Source organism: Homo sapiens, chromosome 11, assembly GCF_000001405.40.
Source record: "Homo sapiens chromosome 11, GRCh38.p14 Primary Assembly".
In the NCBI taxonomy this organism is placed as follows: Eukaryota; Metazoa; Chordata; class Mammalia; order Primates; family Hominidae; genus Homo; species Homo sapiens.
In genome coordinates, this window is record NC_000011.10 from 76,988,679 (window position 1) to 77,012,968 (window position 24,290).

General features: G+C 38.0%; 1 protein-coding gene and 1 long non-coding RNA gene across 10 annotated transcripts in view; one reads left to right on the forward strand and one right to left on the reverse strand.

Annotated features, from left to right (window-relative positions):
- ACER3 (alkaline ceramidase 3) overlaps positions 1 to 24,290 on the forward strand; it is a 165,880-nt gene that overhangs the window by 127,761 nt on the left and 13,829 nt on the right. For 6 of the 9 annotated variants that reach the window (NM_018367.7, XM_011545151.3, NM_001300954.2 and 3 more), the window contains 2 exons: positions 1,861 to 1,896; positions 10,085 to 10,143. In NM_018367.7, the coding sequence (NP_060837.3) occupies positions 1,861 to 1,896; positions 10,085 to 10,143 (95 nt within the window). Of the gene's footprint in view, positions 1 to 1,860; positions 1,897 to 5,477; positions 5,549 to 8,527; positions 8,596 to 10,084; positions 10,144 to 22,651; positions 22,698 to 24,290 lie in introns of those variants that run through there. The other 3 variants (XR_007062489.1, XM_047427235.1, XM_017017987.2) reach the window with 3 other exon arrangements.
- Positions 1 to 24,290, reverse strand: part of ACER3-AS1 (ACER antisense RNA 1) — an 80,139-nt gene that overhangs the window by 33,133 nt on the left and 22,716 nt on the right. The gene's annotated exons all lie outside the window — the stretch shown is intronic.

The window sequence follows — 24,290 nt, forward strand, 5'->3', positions numbered from 1 at the left end:
GCATACAACCAAACCATATCAACTACATATTGGTTAATCGTGAAAGAATTGTAGAATTTCAGAGGTGAAATGAAGTCTTGTTATGATATGAAAGAAGAGAATCAAGTCTAGAGATTGTCAGTGACTTGCCTGGCCAATCAAGTGTATATAGACAATTGGTGGGAGAGACAGACTTTGAAGTCAGATTTAAGTTTGGATCCAGGCTACTTAAAAACTTTGGGACCTTGCAAATTACTTAATCTCTCTCAGCCTTAGTTTCCTTTATCTGTTAAATGAAGAAAATAATAGTATATATTTTATGTTAGTTGTGAAAATTAATACCTAACACATAGGAAGGACTCCATAATTATTTGCTTTAAAAAATGTCTTTAAGAGATATGTCGTTTTGCATTTCTTTTATTAGTAACAATGGGAATCTGATAGCATTACCTATATAAATGGAAATTAGTATTTTGAAATAAGAAATTTCAGAGATTAAAAGCATTCTCCCTTACTGGGTTTAGAGTTACAGATATACAATATCTCATACACATCATACTTTTAAAGCTCACAATGCTTAAAGGAAATAATCTGGGTTTGGTTTTTTTTTTTTGTACTGAGGGTAGAAACTTCTTTAGCCAAATAATAAAATTATATAAAATTTTATGGGATTGCTACATTAAATGAGGATATAGAAATATCTAAATCCAGTACTTAATATCAAAGATATTATAGTCTTGTAGGGAGAGAAACAAACCATTAAATGCCACAAAGTTTATACATGAAGAGTAATGGTAGAAAGGAGTGTGACTGGTTGCTTCCGCTGTATAGAGAAAGGATCAGAAAAGGCTTCAAGAAGGAGGTATAGTTTGAGTTGAATCCTAAAAGATAAGTAATGAATAGAGGAGGATTTCTGAACAAAGTAAAGAGCAGCATGTTTAAAAATACAGAAGCGTGAAACTAGCACATTTGAGGAAGCACAGTACTTTCTGGAGACTTGGATGAGGAGGAAACAAGAAGACAATAGTGAGACCAAATAGAAAGGAAGGAATCATGGAAGGATTTGAATGTTAGGTTAAGAAATTTGAACTTTGTCTTACAAGTGATGAGAGTCATGGCAGGGTCATGACTTGAATTTTGATTCCCCTGTACCATGTCATTTAAAAACTGTACTCCTGTAGGGCAATACATGCATGTTAAATCTTAACTAGGCATTGAGCTTAATCATCCACATGACATTGGAACCTACAACTAGGGTTTGTGTAACTGCGAATGCATCTAGAAGGTGAGTTAGAGATTTCTGGAAGCATAAGAAAGCATAAGAAATTTGTTTTAAATGTCTTCACTTACTGAGTGCCTACTGTATGCTAGACACTTTCAGGTATTTTAGCTTATCATTCCTCATCACTATTATTGTTCATTATCCAGATGAGGAAGGATGCGTCTTCTAGTTAAATTACTTATCCAAGGCATGTAGCAAGTAAGTGGCAGAAGTTGAAATTTACTCCTATCTCTAAGTCCGGTGTTCTCTCTGTTGTAGAACAGATCTGCTTTGGGGATTGTCAACATAACCTCTTCACTCCTCATGAGAATCCATATATCCTTATCTCTCCTTGATACTGATGCAGAGTTTGGAGTGGTCCACAACAGATCTAAAACATTCGACTCACCATAACAGGGCTAGCACTGAGGAAATCCTCCTGTAGATACTAGCTCTCCTGTGGCATGCCACTTGATCTGATTGCTTTTACATGGCTAGATTCAAGTCTGAGTAAGATGGGGGAAGCAGGAGAGGTTTGGGATTTGCAGAGTAATTGGAGTCGGTTTTTCCCCCCTTCATAATGTACTTCATTCACATGTGTTTTTTCTAATATTTTGCAGGTTTACCTTAAGGTAAAAGAGCCGATATTCCATCAGGTAATTTTTTGTAAATTATTACACATTAGATTGTTTACGATACATGGCTGCTTTGTGATTTCCTTGTCTAAGAAATGATATGCAGATAAAAATTTTTTTAATGAAATGGTAGATGTTCTAAGGAAGTTCAGTGTTTAAAAGGGAGGTTGTAAACTCAAATGCTTACAGGAGTCAAGTGTAGGTAACAGGAATATACCTGGGATAGCCAATGCGCAGGTCCAGCTGGCTGTTGGTATTCAGTAATACAGGTGCAACATTGCTATTATAAGCAGAAAGAACCAGGAAGCATTATGCACATACACATAAAGTCTTTTTATGACATCTAGAAAAGACAGACTGAAAATTCCTTGAGTATTTTCCCTCTAATATATTTTAACACATTTTTTGACATGGGAGGTGATGTACATTGAAGGAAGCAGACACAGGAAACTTTATTGTAGGAAATGGTGATTTAAGTGCATGCCATCATGACACCAGAGTGAAATAAAGAAGTAAGCCTTTGAGTGTTGCCATGTGCCTGGTACTATGCTCACTACTACACAGACTTCTAATCTCACCAACAGTCCTACTAATTGGGAATTATTATATACATTTCAAGGAAAATGAGCTCAGAAATATTAAGTAATTTGCCCTAGGGTGACACAGTTATTAAGGGGGAGAGCCAGGATTATAACCTAGATTTGTCTGACTCCTTTTCACCATTCTTTTAACAAACTAGCAAACAAAAATGAATAAATAAGCACGCTTTTCAGAAGTGCCAGAGTTTTAAAATATTTTGTGCTTATATAAACATTTACTAATGTTCTTGTAACTTTTACAATTCAAGCTATACAATAATCATCTAACTGGAATATGGCTTTTGAAATATATTCTATAACCACATTATTATGCCTTGCTTTTCTCCAGGTCAGCTGCAGGTAGATGAACTAAAGTAAATGGTACAGAAAAGACATCCTCACGGCCGGGCGTGGTGGCTCACACCTGTAATCCTAGCACTTTGGGAGGCCGAGGCGGGTGGATCACTTGAGGTCAGGTGTTCGAGATCAGCCTGGCCAACATGGTGAAACCCCATCTCTACTAAAAATACAAAAATTAGCTGGGCATGGTGGCGTGCACCTGTAATCCCAACTACTTGGGAGGCTGAGGCAGGAGAATCGCTTGAACCCACGAGGCAGAGGTTGCAGTGAGCCGGGATTGCACCACTGCACTCTAGCCTGGGTGACAGAATGAAACTCTGTCTCAAAAAAAAAAAAAAAAAGAAAGAAAAGAAAAGACATCCTCACTTTCTTGTTTATTGTAACTTGAAATGATGCCATTATGTAATTACTATTTTATTTAGAAAGTTTTATTAACAGTATAAAAAACAAAGTTGGCCAGGCACAGCGGCTTATGCCTATAATCTCAGTCCTTTGGGAGGCTGAGGTGGGAGGATTGCTTGAAGCCAGGAGTTCGAGACTAACCTGGGAAACATAGCAAAAAAAGAAAAAAAAAATCGGGCATGGTGGAACATGCCTGTATTCCTAGTTACTTGGGAAGCTGAGGCAGGAGGATCCCTTGAGCCCAGGAGGATCCCTTGAGCCCAGGAGTTTGAGGCTGCAGTGAACTATGATTGTGCCACTGCACTCCAGCCCAGGCAACATATCTCTTAAAATAATAATAAATAAATGAAGTTAATTTGTATAAATACCTCAGTTTTTATAAACTTGTTTGCCTTTACTAAGAAAGAAAAATAATGACCACAAAAATATAAAATTTGGAAATTCTGGGTTAATTTTTACAAGTTTTATGACCATCTGTTTTTCATTTTGTGCTTTAGAACTATTTGACACTATGTAATAAAAAACAACTCTTACTAAGTAACTACCCCGGTGCAATATCCATGTGTTTTTCCACTAATGAAGATTTTCTTCCCTATGTATAGCAGTAATATTTATTGATAAGAAGAGAAGCAGGATGAAAGCTAGGTCTATCCATGCCCACTGTGGCTTGTGTCCTAGGCCTAGAGATTAAAAATCAGGATAGAGAAATGAAGAAATAAGGGAATGCTAGAGTGAAGCAAATAAGTAATCTAAAGGTAAAAGACATTCTTTCATTCAACAGATGTCTACTGTCTGCCTTCTCTGTACCAAATTCTGAGCTGGAATTTGGAGACAGGCAGCAAAGCAAAGACTTTATGATCTACATACAGTCAAGCAGACCTGGATTTAAAATCTGTCTCCTCCACTTACTAACTGTACACCCTGGACAAGTTAGTTAACCTCTCTGAGCTGGCTTCCTCGTTGTTCAACAATCTCCCCACCTTTTTTTTTTTTGAAATAGAGCCTCGCCCTGTCACCCAGGCTGGAGTGCAGTGGCTCAATCACAGCTCACTACAGCCTTGACCTCCTGGGCTCAAGCAGTCCTCCCACCTCAGCCTCCCAAGTAGCTGGGATTACAGGCACACACCACTACAACAGGCTGTTTTGCATCTTTTGTAGAGATGGGTTTTACCGTGTTGCCCGGCAGGTCTCAAAACTCCTGAGCTCAAGCAGTCTGCTCACCTCAGCCCCTGCCTTGGTGAAGCTCAGGCAGGGTTACAGGTGTGAGCCACTGTGCCCAGCCTGAACAAACCCTTTTTAAGTGCCTTCAATGTTCCAGACACTGTACTAGGCACAAGAGATACATATACTAGTGAATAAAATAACAAGCCCTGCCCTCAAGGACCTTACACCCTATCTCTATAGTAACCTCCTAAGTTTGAGGATTGAATGAAATAATGTGTATAAAACCCTTGTCACATAGTAAACACTCAATAAATGTTAACTAACATTAATATACACAGGCAAATAAGATATGGCCACTAATCTCAAGAAGATCATTGTCTAATCAGTAATACAGACTTGTAAAAATTAATTGCAGTATATAAGTCTTGCGATAAATATGTAAAAGCAGTGGTAATATAGACAAGGGTAAGCTCTGTCTACTTAGATGACTCATAGAGGGGCTTCAGGAGAGTCTTGAAGATGAACAAGATGTCACAGGTAGAGAAGTAAAGGCTATTCCATCTATAGAGAAGCATGTGTTAAGGCAGCAGTCCCCAACCTTTTTGGCACCAGAGACCGGTTTTGTGGAAGACAATTTTTCCATGGACAGCCAGGGGATGGTTTTGGGATTCCACCTCATATCATCAGGCATTAGATTCTCATAAAGAGCACACAACCTAGATCCCTTATATGTGCAGTTCACAATAGTGTTTGCGCTCCTATGAGAATCTAATGCCACTGCTGATTTGATAAGAGGCAGAGCTCAGGCGATAATGCTCACTTGCCTGCAGCTCACCTCCTGCTGTGCAGCCCAGTTCCTAAAAGGCTGCAGACCTGTACCAGTCTGGGGGATGGGGACCCCTGTGTTAAGGTACAGAAGTGTGAATTGGTAACTCTTGCACATGAAACAGGAGTACAAGTTCACCCAGGGATTTGTGGTAGTGTGCTGAAGCGTTTACAGAATCAGTGACTGCATCTGAACATTCCTATTTTCCTATAACATTTATTTTATTCAACTATATTGTAGGGATTAAACTTTCTTTTTTTTTTTTTGATAAGGAGTCTCACTCTGTCACCCCGGCTGAAGTGCAATGGCACAATCTCGGCTCATTGGAACCTCCACCTCCCAGGTTCGTTATTCTTATGCCTCAGCCACCCAGGTAGCTGGGACTACAGGCGTGTACCATCACGCCAGGCTAATTTTTGTATTTTTAGTAGAAACGGGGTATCGCCATGTTGGCCAGGCTGGTCTTGAATTCCTGGCCTCAAGTGATCTGCCCGCCTTGGCCTCCCAAAGTGCTGGGATTACAGGCGTGAGCCACCGCACCTGGCCTAATTTTCATATTTTCAGTACAGACAGGGTTTTTTCGTGTTGGCCAGGCTGGTCTCAAACTTCTGACCTCAAGTGATCCGCCTGCCTTGGCATCCCAAAGTGCTGGGATTACAGGCATGTGCCATCATGCCCAGCTGGGATTAAACTTTTTAAAGTTAAAACAAATATAAATATGTTACAGAACTGAGTACAATGACCACATGAATTTTTAGGATGAAATAACAAACTTCAAAGAAGTTTGTGTTTTCAATGTGCCTCTCCCGTCTCTGTCCATCAGGAATAAGTCACCCTTCCTTTGCTATTAGGAATATTTTGTAGAAAAGTTTTAAAAGCATCGGTATACTATAAATATTTGGTATGGCTGGCCCTAGCTATAGGAGATGGGTTTGGATTACTGGTGAGGTGGTTAGGTCATGAGGAGCCCTTTATACTATGCTTAAAGTTATAAGCAGTCAGGAGCCATTAAAGGGTTTTAAGCTGCAGTATGACCAAATCAGATTCTCATTTTAGACAGATCATTGAAAGGCTACCTAGGGGCTGGAGGAAGGAAGTAAAAGGCCAAGGAAAGAGAAAAGTTTGATTTCTGTTGCCCTAGTCCACTGAGAAAGGATTTTTTTAAAAACTAGTGCTATAGGATGATATGAAACAATACACTATAGATATAATAAGTAAATTTATATAGTATACATACATGCTAGAAGGTGATAACTGCTATAAAAAAGAAAAATATGTTAGGTTGGGGGATGTCCTTCCACTTGCCCCTCCTTCACTCTCTCCAGTCACACTGAGTCTTGCTTTATATTTCAAACACAACAAGCATGTTTCTACTTTAGGACTTTGGCACTCACTATTGCCACTGCCTAGGATACTAGTACCCCAGCTATCTACATGGTTTATATCCTCACTTCATTCAGGTCTCTGCTTAAATGTTAACTTAGCAGAGAGGCCTTACCTAACAACTCTGTCTAAAATTACAGCCCATCCTTCTCTGTGTTATCCTGATTTAACTTTTATTAGTTGCTTTAGTAGAGAGAAAACACTAATAATATTTTTATAGCCTTTGGAGTTTGGAGACTGAAAACAACTATTAAATATAGAAAGATAAAATTTCACTATAAAAATATACATATTGTTAGATAAAAATTATAAGGAGCAGAAAAGTATACATTCTGTCATCTTTTTATTAAAAAAAAAAACCTCTATAAGTTTAGAAATCAAACTTATATAGCTGAACATGCTGCCAGCCAGATAAAATCAGTTTCTATATAGTCGGAAGGAGACAATGAATACTAGGTAGGCCACTAGCAGTGGGGAGCATCAAAAGTATGGGGTAGGTTGCTCTGGAGAGAAGAAAGTTAATTTGAAAAAGTCCCATGATGTTGCCAAGGCATAGGTTCTTTCCTAATCCATCATTTCGTATGCTCAACATATTCCCTGGGAAATTCATTCCCTTTGACTCCTATATGCTGACAGTTCTGTTTCTTCAGCTGTGATTTTTCTTTTAAACTATAGACCTAGGAATCCAACTTCTGCTAGAGGTCTCTACTTAGATATCTCACTGGCACATCAAACTGAACGTATATGCAGAAGTGAACTCACTACTTTTCTCCCTAGTCTTTCTTCTCTTCATATATTCTCTAATCCAATAATTAATTTTGCCATGCACCTAACTGTCCATGCCACAAACCAGGCCATCATCCTTGTCTTTCCCCCTGTCTAACTTCCATTCAAATTGATGATTAGTCTGAACCCTAAATCTCTCTCTAATCTGGCCACTTCTCTGCATCTCCCCTGATATTACCCTAGTTCAGGTCTCTATCTCTCACTTAGATTACTGCAACACGTTATCATTGGTCTGTTTCCTGTCAGTCTCACCTCCCTCTCTTTCTCCACTCAGCACAACAGGGACATCTTTCTAATACATGAGTCTGACCATGTTATCTATTGGTGAAACCTTCATTGGCTTTCCATTATTATTATTATTATTATTATTATTATTATTTTTTGAGACAGAGTCTTGCTCTTGTTGCCCAGGCTGGAGTGCAATAGCACGATCTTGGCTCACTGCAACCTCTGCCTCTCGGGTTCAAGCAATTCTCCTGCCTCAGCCTCTAAGTAGCTGGGATTACTGGCACCCACCACCACACTCAGCTAATTTTTTGTATTTTTTAGTAAAGATGGGGTTTCACCATGTTGGCCAGTCTGGTCTCAAACTCCTAACCTCAGGTGATCCACCCACCTCGGCCTCCCAAAGTGCTGGGATTACAGGCATGAGCCACCCCACCCAGCCTTTTTTTTTTTTTTTTTTTTTTCTGAGACAGAGTCTTGCTCTGTCGCCCAGGCTAGAGTGCAGTGGTGCAATCTTAGCTCACTGCAACCTCTGCCTCCTGGATTCAAGCAATTCTCGTGCCTCAGCCTCCCCTGTAGCTGGGATTACAAGCATCTGCCACCACACCTGGCTAATTTTTGCATTTTTAGTAGAGATGGGGTTTCACCATGTTGGTCAGGCTAATCTCGAACTCCTGACCTCAAGTGATCCGCCTGCCTTGGGCTCCCAAAGTGCTGGGATTACAGGCGTGAGCCACCACACCCGGCCTCTGTTACTGTTATATGAAGTCCAGCTCCTTAACATGACTTGAAAGGCCAGATTTGACCTCTGGTCTCTGACTCCATTTTTCCTATTCTATATTCCAACAATATACTATAAGGATCTTTTTTTCCTCCTTGTCTCTAGAATATAAGATATCACAATAATTCTCTTCCACTTTCTTTTAAGGTAACTGCTACGTGAGCTTCAGGTATAAAATTTTAAACACCGTATCCTCCAGAAAGACTTTCTACTGTGTAAGTCTGGATTAGGTGGCCTTCCTATGTGTTTATAAAGTACTCTGTACAGTTCCTACCATAGAGTTATAATACTATATTATAATTGCCTGGTTATTTATCTCTCCCTTTACTAGATTGTGATTGCTGTGAGTATAGGGATTATGCCTTTCTTGTTCACCATTTGTAGCAGTATAGCTATGGTTATGGATTTAAGCTGGCACTGAGACCCTAATAAGCTTTAATCTAATACTATGTTTACTCAGCTTTATAGAAGGATACAGGGTGAGAGTTATAGCAGATGTAGCCTCTTCATCTCATCAGAAGACCCAGAGCTATTCATATACATAGCTTCTTTTGTACCCTCATCCACATAAGATTCAGACTAGCCTGGGCAACATAGTGAGACCTTGTCTATACTAAAAAGAAAAAAAATTAGCCAGGATGTGGTTACGCACACCTCTAGTCCCAGCTACTTGAGAGGCTGAGGCAAGAGGATGGCTTGAGCCTGTGAGATCAAGCCTGCAATGAGCTATGATCATGCCACTGCACTCCAGCCTAGACAACAAAAGACCCTGCCTCAAAAGAAATAAGAATAACAAAATAAAACTTAATGAAAATTCTATTATAACTCAAAAGCAAACAGTATTATTATTACTTAGGAATGCATTTGTAGATGACTAGTTTAAGTTAGTAATTATATAAAGAAAAGCAAAACAATGTTTATAATACAAGTCAGGAGAGTGGTTTCCTCTAAGAAGGAAGGGAGAGGGTTGGACTGGGAAGACACACATGCAGCACTTCTTGGGGGTTAACAAGGATTTACTTCTTGACCTGGGTGGTGCTTTCTCAACTATTGGCTTTATATGTATTTGCTAACTCATATTTTCCCACCTGGTTCAATTTTCCAGGTACTAATACACATCTAATACTCAATACAGAAAAGAAAGAAGAGCCAACGCTAGGAAGATGTGAGAACATATAGAATAAAGAACACAGGAAAATGGATTAACCTTAGTCAAGAAGTGGGCACCTTTTTTGGAGACTAGGGATGAGAAAGAATGCCAGGGGAGGATGCATATAAATGCAGAGGCATTTAGAAGAGTTAAAAGAATTCAGGTTTATACTATTGTAAAATGGGAAGCACAATTACTGTATTTGCTGAAAGCAAAGCTAAAGAGAAGAGAGGAGCTAAAGATTATGAGGCAAAATTACAGCATTTGTTCAGGTTTCAGCAGATATTTAAAATTTCAAGGATCCATTCAGAATTAAAATTGATATAGGACTTCTGATACTGGTTATTTAATAAAGTTAAGCAGACTCTTAACTTTTCCTCAGAAGTTAGCATGATTTAGTGATTTAACACATTTTTTAACATTCTATTCTTTAAAATGTAGTGAAGGATAATAAATATTTACATTTAATTGGGAAGGCTATTTTGGTAGGCAAAATAGACTTCCTTTGCCAAACAATAATGATTGTACTAACCTCATTTTCCGTTCCTATTTAGGTCATGTATGGAATGTTGGTCTTTACATTAGTACTTCGATCTATTTATATTGTTACATGGTAAGTAGTTTGGATCATCTGCACCATGACTGAAGTATATTCAGACCTATAACAGTAAATCTATAGCCTAAATCAAAATAACACATAAAAGCTCACTTCAGTAGAGATGTTGGAAGAAAACTATAACCCAACATTTATTGTTATATTATAAGGAATACTGGGTCTTCAGACAAGTTGTTAATGGGCATCATGTGAAAACTAGGGTTCCAAAATTAAAGACATGGGAAAATTAAAGAGAGCTGTCGACGATGGCCTTGTTTTGAATATTTATAAAATTCATTAGATATTAGAGACCTTAAAAATCCTATAGTTAAAAAAAAATTGTTTTTGTCTTTCTTAAACCTACTTGACTAGGGAATTCCTTTTACATAGTACCTCCAAGGAAGGCTGTTAATGTCACAAAGAATTAGTATTTCATGAAAGATTATTTGGGAAATGGGTATAATCTTTAGGCATTCATGAAAATTAAATAAGAAATAACATTCATGAGATTACCTTAAATAGGGCCTGGCCACACAACAGGTGTTCAATAAATAAGTAGTATGATTTGTGGGTTTGTTTTTTTTTTCTTTTTTATTAAACTTTTAGTATCTAGATAACTGTAAAAATGCATACATTTGTAAAAAATAATAGATCCCAGTATCCTTTACCAATCTCCTCCATTTGTAACATCTTACAAAACTATATTACAATATCAAAACCAAGGCTTGATATGAATACAGTCAAGATACAAAACATTTCCATCATCAGAAGGATGTCTATGTTGCCCTTTTATAACCAGACCTACTTCCCTCCTGCCCCACCTCACTCCTCACTCCCTGTCCTTAACCTCTGGTGATCACTTAATCTGTTCTGCATTTCTGTTTTTGTCATTTCAAGAATGTTATATAAATGGTATCAGATATATAACCTTTGAGACTGGCTTTTTGAACTCAGCATAATTATCCAAGTTGTTCAGTGTGTCAATAATTCATTCCTTTCTATTGCTGAGTAGTATTCCATGGTATAGATGTACCACAGTTTAACCATTCATCTGTTGAGTAACATCTGGGTTGTTTCCAGTTTGAGGCAATCATGAATAAAGCTGCTATGAACAATTGTAATGCAGGTTTTTATGGGAACACAAGTTTTCACTTCTCCGGAATAAATGCCCAGAGTGAAATTGCTAGGTTTTGTAGTAATTTATGTTTAGTTTTTCTCAAAACTGCTGAATTGCTTTTCAGAGTAGCTCCACCATTTTTACATTCCCACCAGCAATATATGTGTGATCCAGTTTCTTTGCATCCTCACCAGAATTTGGTAGTGTCACTATTTTTAATGAAGTTTTTTATAATTTGCATTTCCCTAATGGCTAATCACGTTGAACATACCTTCCATGTGCTTATTTGCCATATGTATATGTATTCTCCCTGGTAAAATTTCTGCTCATGTCTTTGCCTGGTTTCTCTTTTTTTATAAGAGATAATAAGGACAGTTGCTATTGTTTTTACAGTTGAGTTGTGAGATTCTAATTCTTTATTAAATATGTGATTTGTGAATTCTTTCTCCCAATCTATAACTTTTCATCCTCTCTTTCAATGAGCAAACATTTTTAATTTCAATGAGGTCAAATTTATCAGTTTTATGGATTGTGTTTTTGGTGTCAAGTCTAAGAACTCTATACCTACCTATAGATCCCAAAGATTTGTTCTTATTTTTTTTCTAAAAGACTGTATAGTTTTACATTTTACATTTAAGTCTGTGGTTTATTTTCAGTTCATTTTGTATAAGGTGTGAGGCATAGGGTGAGGTTCTGTTTTTTCCATGTGGATGTCCAACTGTTCTAAGACCCATTAGTGGAAAAGACTATCCTTTCTCCATTGAATTGCCTTTGCACTTTTGTCAAAAATTATTTGGGTAGATTTGTGTGGGTCTGTTTTAGGGATCTCAGTTATGTTCCATTGATTGATGTGTCTCCCCCTCCACCAATACCACACAGTCTTGATTACTGTGGCCATATAAGTCTTCAAATCATACAGACTGATTCCTCCCACTTCATTCTTTTTTTTCAAAATTGCTCTAGCTATTCAGGTTCCTTTGCCTTTCCATATAAAGTTTAGAATAATATTGTCTAAATTTAAAATCTTGTTGAGATTTTAGGAATTATAGGAATTATATTAAATATGCATATCAATTTGCAGAGCTGACATCTTTACTATGTTGAGTCTTCCAGTCCATGAACACAGTATGTCTCTTGATTTATTTAGATCTTTAATTTATTTCATCAGCATTTTGTAGTTTTCAATTTTTTAAGCAGTTGTGATATTGTATTTTTAAATTTTAGTGTCCACATGTTCATTGCTATTATATAGATACACAATTGATTATCTTTTATTCTGCCACCTTGTTGAAGTCAGTTCTAGGAGAGTTTTCTTGTAGATTTTTTTGTTTTGTTTTGTTTTTTGCTTTTTTTGAGACAGAGTCTCGCACTGTCTCCCGGGCTGGAGTGCGATGGCATGATCTCGGCTCGCTGCAGCCTCTGCCTCCCAGCTTCAAGTGATTCTCCTGCCTCAGCCTCCCCAGTAGCTGGGATTACAGGCGCCCACCACCATGCCCAGCTAATTTTTCTGTATTTTTAGTAGAGACGGAGTTTCACTATGTTGGCTAGGCTGGTTTCAAACTCCTGACCATGTGATCTGCCTGTCTCGGCCTCCCAAAGTGCTGGGATTACAGGTGTGAGACAACACGCTCGGCCCTGTAGATTTGTTTTTAAGATTTGCTGCAAATAGAAATAGTGTATATCCTCGTTCCTGATGTGTGTGCTTTTTAGTTCCTTTTTGCCTTATTGACCTGACTAGAACTTCCAAGACTATGTTGAGTAAGAGCAGTGACAGCAGATCTCCTTGCCTTGTTCCCAATTCTAGGGGAAAAGCATTTAACCTTTCATCATTAAGTTAAATGTTAGCTGTAAGTTTTTTATAGACGTTCTTTATTAGGTTGAGGAATTTGCCCTCTATACTAGTTTGATAGGGCTGCCACATATAATAAAATATCATTAGATTGGGTGGCTTAACCAACAAACTTATTTTCTCACAGTTCTGGAGGCTAGAAGTCTGAGACTAGGGTGTCAGCAGGTCTGATGTCTTCTGACACCCCTCTCTTTGGCATGCAATTGGCCACACAGAGAACACAGAGAGAAGGTGTTCATTTGGTCTTTTCTCTGTGCATGCCTGGGTCTGATTTCTCTGTGTGTTTGTGTCCTAATCTCCTTTTCTGATAAAGGACACCAGTTATATTAGATTAGGGCCTGCCCTAATGACCCCATTTTAACTTAATTATCTCTTTAAAGAACCTATCTCTAAAATAGTCACACTCTAAAGTACAGGGGGTTAGGACTTTAACATATGAATATCAGAGGAAACACACTATATCCTCTATTCTTTATTTTTATCATAACTTTTGTTATCATAAATGGACCTATAATACACTCTATTACTAATTTTCTTTATCATGAATGGGTGTTGGATTTTGTCAAATGCTTTTTCAGTATTAACTGATTTTATCATACTGTTTTATTCTGTAGTCTGTTAATAAGGTGGATTATATTAATTGATATGGGAATATTGATCCAGCCTTGTATCCTGGGATAAACCTTACTTATGTAATTCTTTTTATATATTCTGAATTCTTCACTTGTTAATATTTTGTTAAGGATTTTTGTATCTGTATTCATGGAGGATATTGGTTTGTAGTTTTTATTTTTTGTCCTGTCTTTTTCTGGTTTTGGCATCAGGATACTATACATTTCATTAAATGATTTGGGAAATGTTGCTCCCTTCTATTTTCTGGAATAAATTGTGTACAATCAGTGTTAACTCTTCTTTAAATGTTTGGTAGAATTCTCTAGTGAAACCATCTGGGCCTGGAAATCTGTTTTTTGGGGCATTTTAAAATTACACATTTTAAAAATAAAGGAAAATCTGACACCTGTTACAACAGGGATGCACCTATAAGACATTAGGCTAAGTGAAATAAGCCAGTCACAAGAGGACAAATACTACGAGTCCATTTATATGAGGTTCCTAGAGTAGTCAACTTCATAGAGACACAAATAAAATGGTGATCAGGGCCTGGTGGGGAGTAGGATGAGGGGGTTCCCTGGGGAAGGCATTGGAGAGTTATCGTTTTATGGGTACAAAGTGCAGTTTGGGAAGATAGAAAAAGTTCTGGAGATAGACAGTGGTAAGGTTTGCACAACAATGTGAATGTACTTAATGCTACAGATCTATATACTTTAAAAGGGTTAAAAAGTTAAACTTTATGAATATTTTAACATAATAAAATGTTTACATTAAACATATGCAGAAAAATAAAATTACAGGTTCAGCTTCTTTAATAGTCATGCCGTTATTCACTTTTTTCTTTTTTCTTCCACTCTTGTTGAAGACTTGCAGCTATTCAAATGATTGATTTTGGGTGAACTGTGGTAGTTTGTGTTTCTTGAGGCATTGGTTCATTTCATCTAAGTCATCAAAATTTATGTGTGTAGCATTGGTTACAATATTCCCTTGTTTTCCTCTTGATGTTGAGAGGGCTTGCAGTGATAATCTGTTTCATTCCTAATATTGGTAATGTGTTAGTCTTCTCTCTTTCTTTTTTGGTCAGCCTTGTTAGAAGTATCTCAAATTTTATTGATCTTTTTAAAAACCAGACTTTTGTTTGATTTTCTCCATTTTTCATTTTTCAGTTTCATTGATTTCTGTTCTTTATATTTTCTTCCTTTTGCTTGTTGTGGGTTTATTTTCATTTCTTTTTCAAGGTTCTTGAGATGGAAGCTTAAATTTTTATTTCAGACTTTCCTATTTCCTAATGAGCATTTAGTGCTATAAATTTTCCTCTCAGCACTGCTTTAGCAGTGTCCCACAGCTTTTTATATGTTGTATTTCATTTTTATTCAGTTCAATGTACTTTTTAAAATTTCTCTTGAGACTTCCTCTTTGACCCATGGATTATTTAGGTGTATGTTGTTTCACATTCAAGAGTTTGGAGATTTTCCTATTGTCATTCTTGATTTCTTGTTTGATTTCATTGTGGTCAGAGAACACACTCTGCATGATTTCATTTTTCTTAAATTTGTTGAGGTTTGTATTATGGATCAGGTTATACCAAGGATATTTATGCCAAGGATATCTTGGCATATATTCCATGTTTGTTTGAAAAGAATATGTATTCTGCTATTGTTTGATAAAATCTTCTACATATGTCAATTAGATCCTGTTGGTTGGTGGTTGTGTCAGTGTTCCCCATGACTACCCTCAGGTCTGATGATTCACTAGGACTCACAGAACTCAGCAAAGCTGTTATACTCATAGTTAAGGTTTGTTACCTAAAGGTCAAACTGATACAGCATGGCCCAAGACCCCAGGCAAATAAAAATAGGTGTTTCCTATAAATCACGTTAGTTGCATAAGCTATCTGGCATGGCCCAAAGTGTCGAGTATACAAAGACACTCTTATTGGGCAGGATTTTCTAAAGTCTCAGAAGTTATCTCCCAGGAGCCAGTCAAGAGCCAGTCCTTTCTTTGAAATGTGCAGTGTTTGTGCCCCAAGTCCACCGACTTAGCTATTTAATGCTCAATGGTATTTTTTAGTTATTCTGTATCATTGTTGATTCTCTATCTAGTTGTTCTATCAGTTGATGACAGAAAAATACTGAAGTCTCCAAACATGATTTTGGACTTGACTATTTCTCCTTCATTCTATCAGTTTTTGCTCCTCACATTTTGCAAGTCTATTTTGATGCACAGACATTTAGAACTGCTGTATCTTCTTGGCAGATTGGCCTTTTTGTCATTATGTAATGTTCCTCTCTGACTCTGATAATCTTCTTTGCTCTGAAGTCTAATTTATCTGATTAATATATCCATATTAGCATAGCATTGTTTCGATTAATGTTTGTGTGGCATATCTTTTTTCATCCTTTTAGTTTCAACCTGATCATACTGTTATATTTGAAATGCATTTCCTTTAGACATTATATAGTTGAATCAGTTTGAGTCATGTTTTTAATCCACTCTTCCAATTTCTTTTAATTGGTGTATTTAGATCATTTATATGAATACAATTATTAATATATAAGAACTTAACTGCCATTTTATTTTTTGTTTTCTATTTGTTCTCTCTGGTTTTTTGCTTTTATATGCTTTTTCCTGCCTGTGAGTTACTTAAACTTTTTCTTTTTTTTTTTTTTTTTTTGAGACGGAGTCTCACTCTATCGTCCAGGCTGGAGAGCAGTGGCGCGATCTCAGCTCACTGCAAACTCCGCCTCCCGGGTTCACGCCATTCTCCTGCCTCAGCCTCCTGAGTAGCTGGGACTACAGTGCCTGCCACCGCACCCGGCTAATTTTTTGTATTTTTAGTAGAGACGGGTTTCACCGTGTTAGCCAGGATGGTCTCGATCTCCTGACCTTGTGATCCGCTGGCCGTTAGTGTGTCTATAGTGCTTATGTTTCTCTTTGTATTGCTTTTTAGTGGCTGCTCTCAGTATTACTTTATATATGCATACCCTATCAGAGTCTAATGTTAATCAGCATTTTACCAGTTCCAGTAAACTACAGAAAACTTACCTCCCTTTCATGGGTCTGTATTCGATTCCTAGGGCCACCATGACAAAGTCCACAAGCTACGTGGCTTTAAATAACTAAAATTTATTGTATCACAGTTCTAGAGGCTAGAAGTCCCAGATGAAAATGTCTCAGGGCCATGCTCCCTCTGAGACCAGTTGGGAAATTCTTTCTTACCTCTCTTCCTAGCTTCTAGTAGTTTGGTGGCAAGCTTTGGTATTCCTTGACTTATAGCTGCATCAGTCCAGTCTTTGCCTTGTCACATGGCATTCTCCCCATGTCTCTGTGTCTTCACATAGCTATCTTCTTATAAGGACACCAGTCATATTGGAGTAGGGCCCACCCTACTCTAATATAAACCCATCTTAAATAATTATATCTGCAAGGACTTTATTTCCAAATTAGGTAACATTCTGAGTGAGGTACTAGAGTTATGACTTCAACATATCTTTTTTAGAGGTGAAAAATTCAACTCATAAGAATGCCTTTATCCTGACCCATTTAAAATATAATTGGTATATAATATATATGTATATTATATATATATACATATATATATATATATATATTTTTTTTTTTTTTTGAGCCAGAGTTTCACTCTTGTTGCCCAGGCTGGAGTGCAGTGGCGCGATCTTGGCTCACTGCAACCTCTGCCTCTCGGGTTCAAGCAATTCTTCTGCCTCAGCCTCCCAAGTAGCTGGGATTACAGGCGCTGCCTCCATGCCTGGCTAATTTTCATATTTTTAGTAGAGACAAGATTTCACCATGTTGGCCAGGCGGGTCTCAAACTCCTGACCTCAGGTGATCCACCCACCTCAGCCTCCCAAAGTGCTGGGATTACAGGCGTGAGCCACCGCGCCTGGCTGTCTTTAATATTTTGTCTCCATGCATTTAGAACCATATCAGACAGTGTTATGATTTTTGTCTTAATCATAATACATAGCTTAGAAAACTCGAGAAGGAAAATGTGTTGTGTCCTCCCACATTTATACTCATTTCCATTGCTCTTTCTTCCTTCCTGATGTTCCATGATCCCTTTTTTCATCATTTCCTTTCTGTTTAGAGAACTTCCTTTAGCCATTTTTTAGGGTAGGTCTCCTGGAAATGTAGTCTCTTAGGTTTCCTTCACCTAAGAATGTCTTGATATTTATTTTGTTCCTAAAGGATATATTTACTATATATAAAATTCTAGGTTGACAATTATTTTTTTTCAGAATTTGAAAAATGTCATGCCACTTCCTCTGCCCTTCACATTTTTTTTAATGAAAAATCCTTTATCATTTGAATTGTTTTCCCCCATAGGTAAGATGTTGTTTGTCTCTCACTACTTCAAGATTTTCCTAAGTCTTTAGTTTTCAGAAGTTTGGCTATAGTTTGTCTTAATGTGAATTTCTTTGGGTCTAACATGTTTGAGCAGGGCTCATGCCTGTAATCCCAGATACATGGGAGGTTGAGGTGGGAGGATCGCTTGAGGCCAGGAGTTCAAGACCAGACTGGGTATCATAGAGATACCCCATCTGTAAAAAATAAATATAAAAATTATCCAGGCATTGTGATATATACCTGTAGTCCCAGCTGCTCAGGAGATTGAGGCAGGAGGATTGTTTGAACCCAGGAGTTCGAGGCTGCAGTGAGCTAGGATTGTGCCACTGCACTCCAGCCTGGGCAACAGAGCAAGACCCTGTCTCTTGAAAAAAAAAAAAAACTTTAAAAAAATCACATGTTTTGAGGTTGGCTCAGCTTCTTGAATCTGTGTGTTTGTTGTTTTTAGTTAGGGAATTGTTGAGTTTTTTGTTTTTATTTTTATTTTTTTAACAAATTTAGAAGTTTTTTGCCATTATTTTATGAAGTACTTTTCAGCCCTGCTCTCTTCCTCCTCTCCTTCTGGGGGACACCAATAACAAGACACTTAGATCTTTTGTTATAGTCCCACAGGTCCCTTAGCACCACCTCATTACTGCCAGGTACTCGTAGAAGTCTAGGTTCCTCTTTGGCCTCTGTTGGCAAGCCAGGGGGAGAAGAGGCTCTTGATTAACTGCTGGGCTGAGTTGGGAGCTCCCTCTCCCTACTAGGCCACTGCTTTGTCTGAGAGGGGAAGGATTGCTTTATTATTTCTTACCATCTGGTTTCCACTGACACCCAAGTGGTGTGGCCATGGTATCTCTGGCCAGTGGTGAAAATTCTGACTCTGCAGTAGGTCTCTGACACTATCCCACTAGGGAGGGAAAACAGTGTCTCATCATTGCCACGGGAAGATAGATATCCAAGCTCCTCACATGGTCTCTAAGGGAATAAGGAACTAATTACTGTGGGTGGGGATGAGAGTCCCAAGCCCTCACTACTTGGCCTTCTTAACCTGGCATGGGGTTGAAGCACCTTCTAATACCCTGATGAGCATGGAAGTCTAGGCTCCCCATTCAGCCTTTGTTGCATGAGTCGGAAATCTATTGCATGGCAGGGTGACTATAATGTATTATATATTTCAAAATAGCTAAGATAGCAAATTTCAAATTTCTCACCACAAAAAAATAAGTGATGGGTATGTTAATTAGCTTGATTTAATCATTCCACATTGTATACATATGTCAAAACATCACATTGTTCTCCATAAATGTATATAATTATGATTTATCAATTTAAAATAATATTAATTTTTTAAAAAGAAAAGACATGGAACTCACCACTGTATCATTTCTCAGGTCCCAAAATCCCTAGTTAGTCTGCTTCTTCTCAACACCTTTCAGGGTCTTCTTATGTTTGTCTTATATATAATGCCCAGCAGTTTTAGTTTTACTTAGTGGAACGAATATGAAAAAGTATATCCACTTCATCTTCCCAGAAGCCCAAGTCCCAGTTTATTCTGTTTTTAATGTAGACCCCTTAGGTAAATATAAAGAAGCATAAAATACAGTCCTTGACTTAAATCAAGTCTGATAGACAGGGTACCAATACTTTTAGAAACACAAATGACAGACCTTTAAAAAGCACTTAACAGTGGCAATCCTATGAAATAAAAGCAACTTTCTTCCATCTGTCTTGCCACAACTTCTTTCCTATATGTCCATTTGTTGATCATTTCATTTAGCACTGGTCATTATTTCCTTATCTGTCTGCTCAACTAGACTGTGAGCTTCTTAAAGTCTTAGTTATCTTGGTAATCCCTGGATCCCAGGATAGTGCTTACCCATAAATGTTTTTAAAATCAAATTGAAACTCTTAAAACTTTTGTTACTTTTGTCTGATGAAACATCTGAAAATTCCTCCTGTAACAAAACACCTAGAAATTCTAAATATAATATAACAAACATCCTTTAAATGCCCAGATGAGTTCACAAGAACATAAAATTCCAGGCTGGGCATGGTGACTCATCCCTATAATTCCAGCACTTAGGGAGGCCAAGGCAGGAGGATTACTTGAGCCCAGGAGTTTGAGACCAGGCTGGGCAATAATAGGGAGACCTAGTCTATACAAAAAGAAATTTAAAAATTAGCCAGGTGTGGTGATGCATGCCTATAGTCCTAGCTACTTGGGAGGCTGAGATGGGAGAATCACTTGATCCCAGGACACTGAGGCTGCATTGAGCCATGATTGTACCACTGCACTCCAGCCTGAACAACAGAGCAAGACCCTGTCTCCAAATAATAGCAATCCAAAGTATCTGTATTAAGCCATCATTGCACTGCTATAAAGAAATACTGGAGACTAGGTAACTTATAAAGAAAAGAAGTTTAATTGGCTGACAGTTTTTTAGGCTTTACAGAAAGCATGGTGTGGCATCTGCTTGGCTTCTGGGGAGGCCTCAGGAAGCTTACAATCATGGCGGAAGGCAAAGGGGAGCAGACACGCCACATGGCAAAAGCAGAAGCAAGAGAGAGTAGGGGAGGTGCCGTACACTTTAACCAACCATATCTCTTGAGAACTCACTCACTACCGCAAGGACAGAACCAAGCCATGAGAGTGCCCCCATGACTCAAACACCTCCCACCAGGCCCCACTTAGAACACTGGGGATTACATCTCAACATGAGATCTGGAGGGAGCATCAAATCCAAAGAAGGAGCTGCAAACTACAGTGACAAATGAGTACTTAGATCATGGTCAACTGGCCAGGCACAGTGGCTCACACAAGTAATCCTAATACTTTGGGAGACTACAGTGGGAGGACTGCTTGAGCCCAGGCATTCAAGACCAACCTGGCAAAGAAGTAAGAACCCACTTCTACAAAAAAAATTAATAAATTAGGTAGGTGTGGTGGCACATACCTTTAGTCCCAGCTACTCAGCAGGCTGAGGCAGGAGGATTGATTGAGCCCAGGGAGCCAAGGCTGCAGTGAGTCATTATCACACCACTGCACTCCAGCCTGGGCAACAGAGTGAGACCCTGTCTCAATAAAAAGAAAGAGAGAGAGAGAGAGATTGTGGTAAACTTCAAGGCATTTGAAGATACCATGAAACCAGAGCCTTAGGTTTGAAGCCACAAAACAGAAGGCAAAGTTCTTGGTATGTTTCAGACTGGCAATTGGAACTATTTCCTCATCACCATACACACACATATACAAATAAAGCCAGGACCATTAAAGAGGTATATTGTCAGTGAAGAGCTGGGCTAGAAAAAATTTGCCCTCCAATAGAAAGAACTGACAAGGCAACTTGTCTTTCAGCCTCAGTTTTAGGTAGGAAAAATGACTCCCCTAAGAATTTGTAAAGAAATGTATTCTTGTGAGACCCTGTCTCTACCAGAAATAATAATAATAATAATAATAATAATAATAATAACTAGTTTGGCATGGTGGCATGCTCTTGTAGTCCTAACTACTCGAGAGGCTGAGGTGGGAGGATTACTTGAGCCCTGGAGCTTGAGGTTACAGTGAGCTATGATCGCACCACTGCACTCTAGCCTGGGCAACAAAGCAAGACTTTCTGTCTAATTTTTTTAAAAATTATAAAATGAAAAGCTGAATTGAAGTGTTTAAAAGATACAGTTAAAGAAGCCACTCTGAGTATAGGACAAAAAAAAAAAAAAGACATGGCAGATAGAATAGACTCAATAGAAATATTACTGAATAGATAATGTTGAGCCAGAATAGAAGGGAACCAACATCAAAAAGGAGACAGAGGCAGAGAATAGAGAAAATGGAAGAGAGGCAATTACCAAAATAATTCAAGAAAACATTATATAATTGATGGGCATGAGTTATTAGACTGAAAAAGCCCACTGGATACCCAGCACAATGGATGGAGATGTGCTCCATCCTTGTTCTAGACCTATGCCAGTTTCAGAGTTCTAGAACAAGGAAGGATTCCAGAAGTATATAAGTTGAGAGGCAGGAATATATACAAAGGATCAGGAATCAGAATGGCTTTGGGCTTGCCAAAGCAACATTGAAACTAGAAGACCAATGCCTTCAAATTTCTAAAGGAAAATTATTTCTAAGCTAGAATTCTACAGGCAGCCAAACTATCAGTAAAATACAGAGAAAAATATGTTTTCATACATTCCAAGATCTCAAAAAAACTTACATCCCATTAAATATTGCTCAAGAACCTACTGAAAGACGTGCTTCGCCAAAATGAGAGTACTACAAAAAGGACGAGTGCGTGGGATACAAGACAGGAGATCCAATGAAAGAGAGAGGTGAAGGCAGTTCCTAAGGTGCAGGTGATGGAAAGGGATTTCTCAGATGACAGCTGTATGCTAGACAGGCAGGCAGTCCAGAATAAAGCAGTGTGATAGAGAGAGATACAGAGAGACATATGTTGAGTGCCTTCTGTATTCTACACTCTTGCACCTGATACTATATGAGTAGTAAGTCCCCTTAGCCTTGCATGGACCATGTGCTGATGTTCTTGCTCTCCCCTTCCCGCCCTGCTACCTGGATAACCAAAGACATTCATTTTACCCCACAGAAGAGTATTGCTTTGAACTGCCCCTGAGAGCTGAAGATTGGCCATGGTAAGTAAGTTTAGAAGCAGAAAACAGATAGCACCCTACCCCCACTGATCATATTCCTGTCATATTTCAGTACCTGGCCCACACTGCCAGAAGCCTTCACTGTGTTGAGGCCTATGTTTCTTGGGACTCATTCTTGCCTTCCTCAAATGGGGGCTATGATAAACTCTGAAAAGCTGAAGCCAGACTGTGACTCTTTTAAGCTCATCTTCTCTTGAGAACCCTCATCAAACAGTGGTAATAATGCCTTTTCCATACATTGCCAGGTTTGTGCTTTCCTGATCATTTTTAAACGAATCACCTTTTACGTTCACTTATATGCCAATACTTACAGTTAAGTAAAAAAAAAAATTGAAAAATTTATTATTGCCATTCACCATATTTAAAAAATAAAGAACAGAGGCAGACCAGTCTTTAGAAAATTAAAATTAAATATTAAAAGGAGAAAAATTACATGATATCAAGATTTAGACTAAAGCATTCTGTAAAATTCAACACCTATTTATGTTCTAAAACAAAACAAAACCCTTTACAAACTAGTAATAGAAGGGAACTTTCTTAACCTATCAATTCTATAGCATATAAAACACCTAGTCATGACATGTATTTTTTTTAATCCCTTTAAAAATCAAGAATAAAACTAGAATATATAATTACTTCTATTCAACATTATACTGGTGGAAATCCTACCCAACATTTTACTTGCAAATGACATGATCATGTATAGAAAATATCACAGGACATGTACAAAAAAAGCCGTTAGAGAGCCAGGCGCGGTGGCTCATGCATGAAATCCCAGCACTTTGGCAGGCCGAGGTGGGTGGATCACGAGGTCAAGAGATCGAGACCATCCTGGCCAACACAGTGAAACCCCATCTCTACTAAAAATACAAAAATTAGCTAGGCATGGTGGCGCACGCCTGTAGTCCCAGCTACTTGGGAGGCTGAGGCAGGAGAATCACTTGAACCTGGGAGGCAGAGGTTGCAGTGAACCAAGATTGAGCCACTGTACTCCAGCCTGGCAATAGAGCAAGACTCCATCTCAAAAAAAAAAAAAAAAAAAAAAAAAGCTGTTAGAAGCAATAAGTGAAATTTAGCAGAGTCACAAGATTCTAGTCCATATTCAAAATCATATTTCTCTGTTCTAGCAGTGAACTATTAGTAAGATTTTGTAAAGTATAATTTACAATAACATTAAAATACCTTAAATGTTTAAGGATTAAATTTAACAAAATATGCAAGACCTGTACATTGAAAACTACACTGTACAGTTTTTTTGTTGAGAGAAATTGAAGAGCTAGACAAATAGACAGATACACCATTTAATGGATTATAAACTTCAATATTGTTAAGATGCCAGTTCTCCAATCCTGATTTGTAGGTTCTGCAGGCTTTTTAGTAAAAATGGAGAAACTGATTCTGACATTAACATGGGCATGCAAAAGACTGCGAATAGCCAAAACAGTTTTTGAAAAGGAACAAAGTTAGAGGGCTTGCATGACTTGACTTACTCTATGCTGCTACTAAGACAATGTTGTATTGGTGGTAATAATGAAATATAAATCAATAGAACATCCAAAAATAGACCCACACACC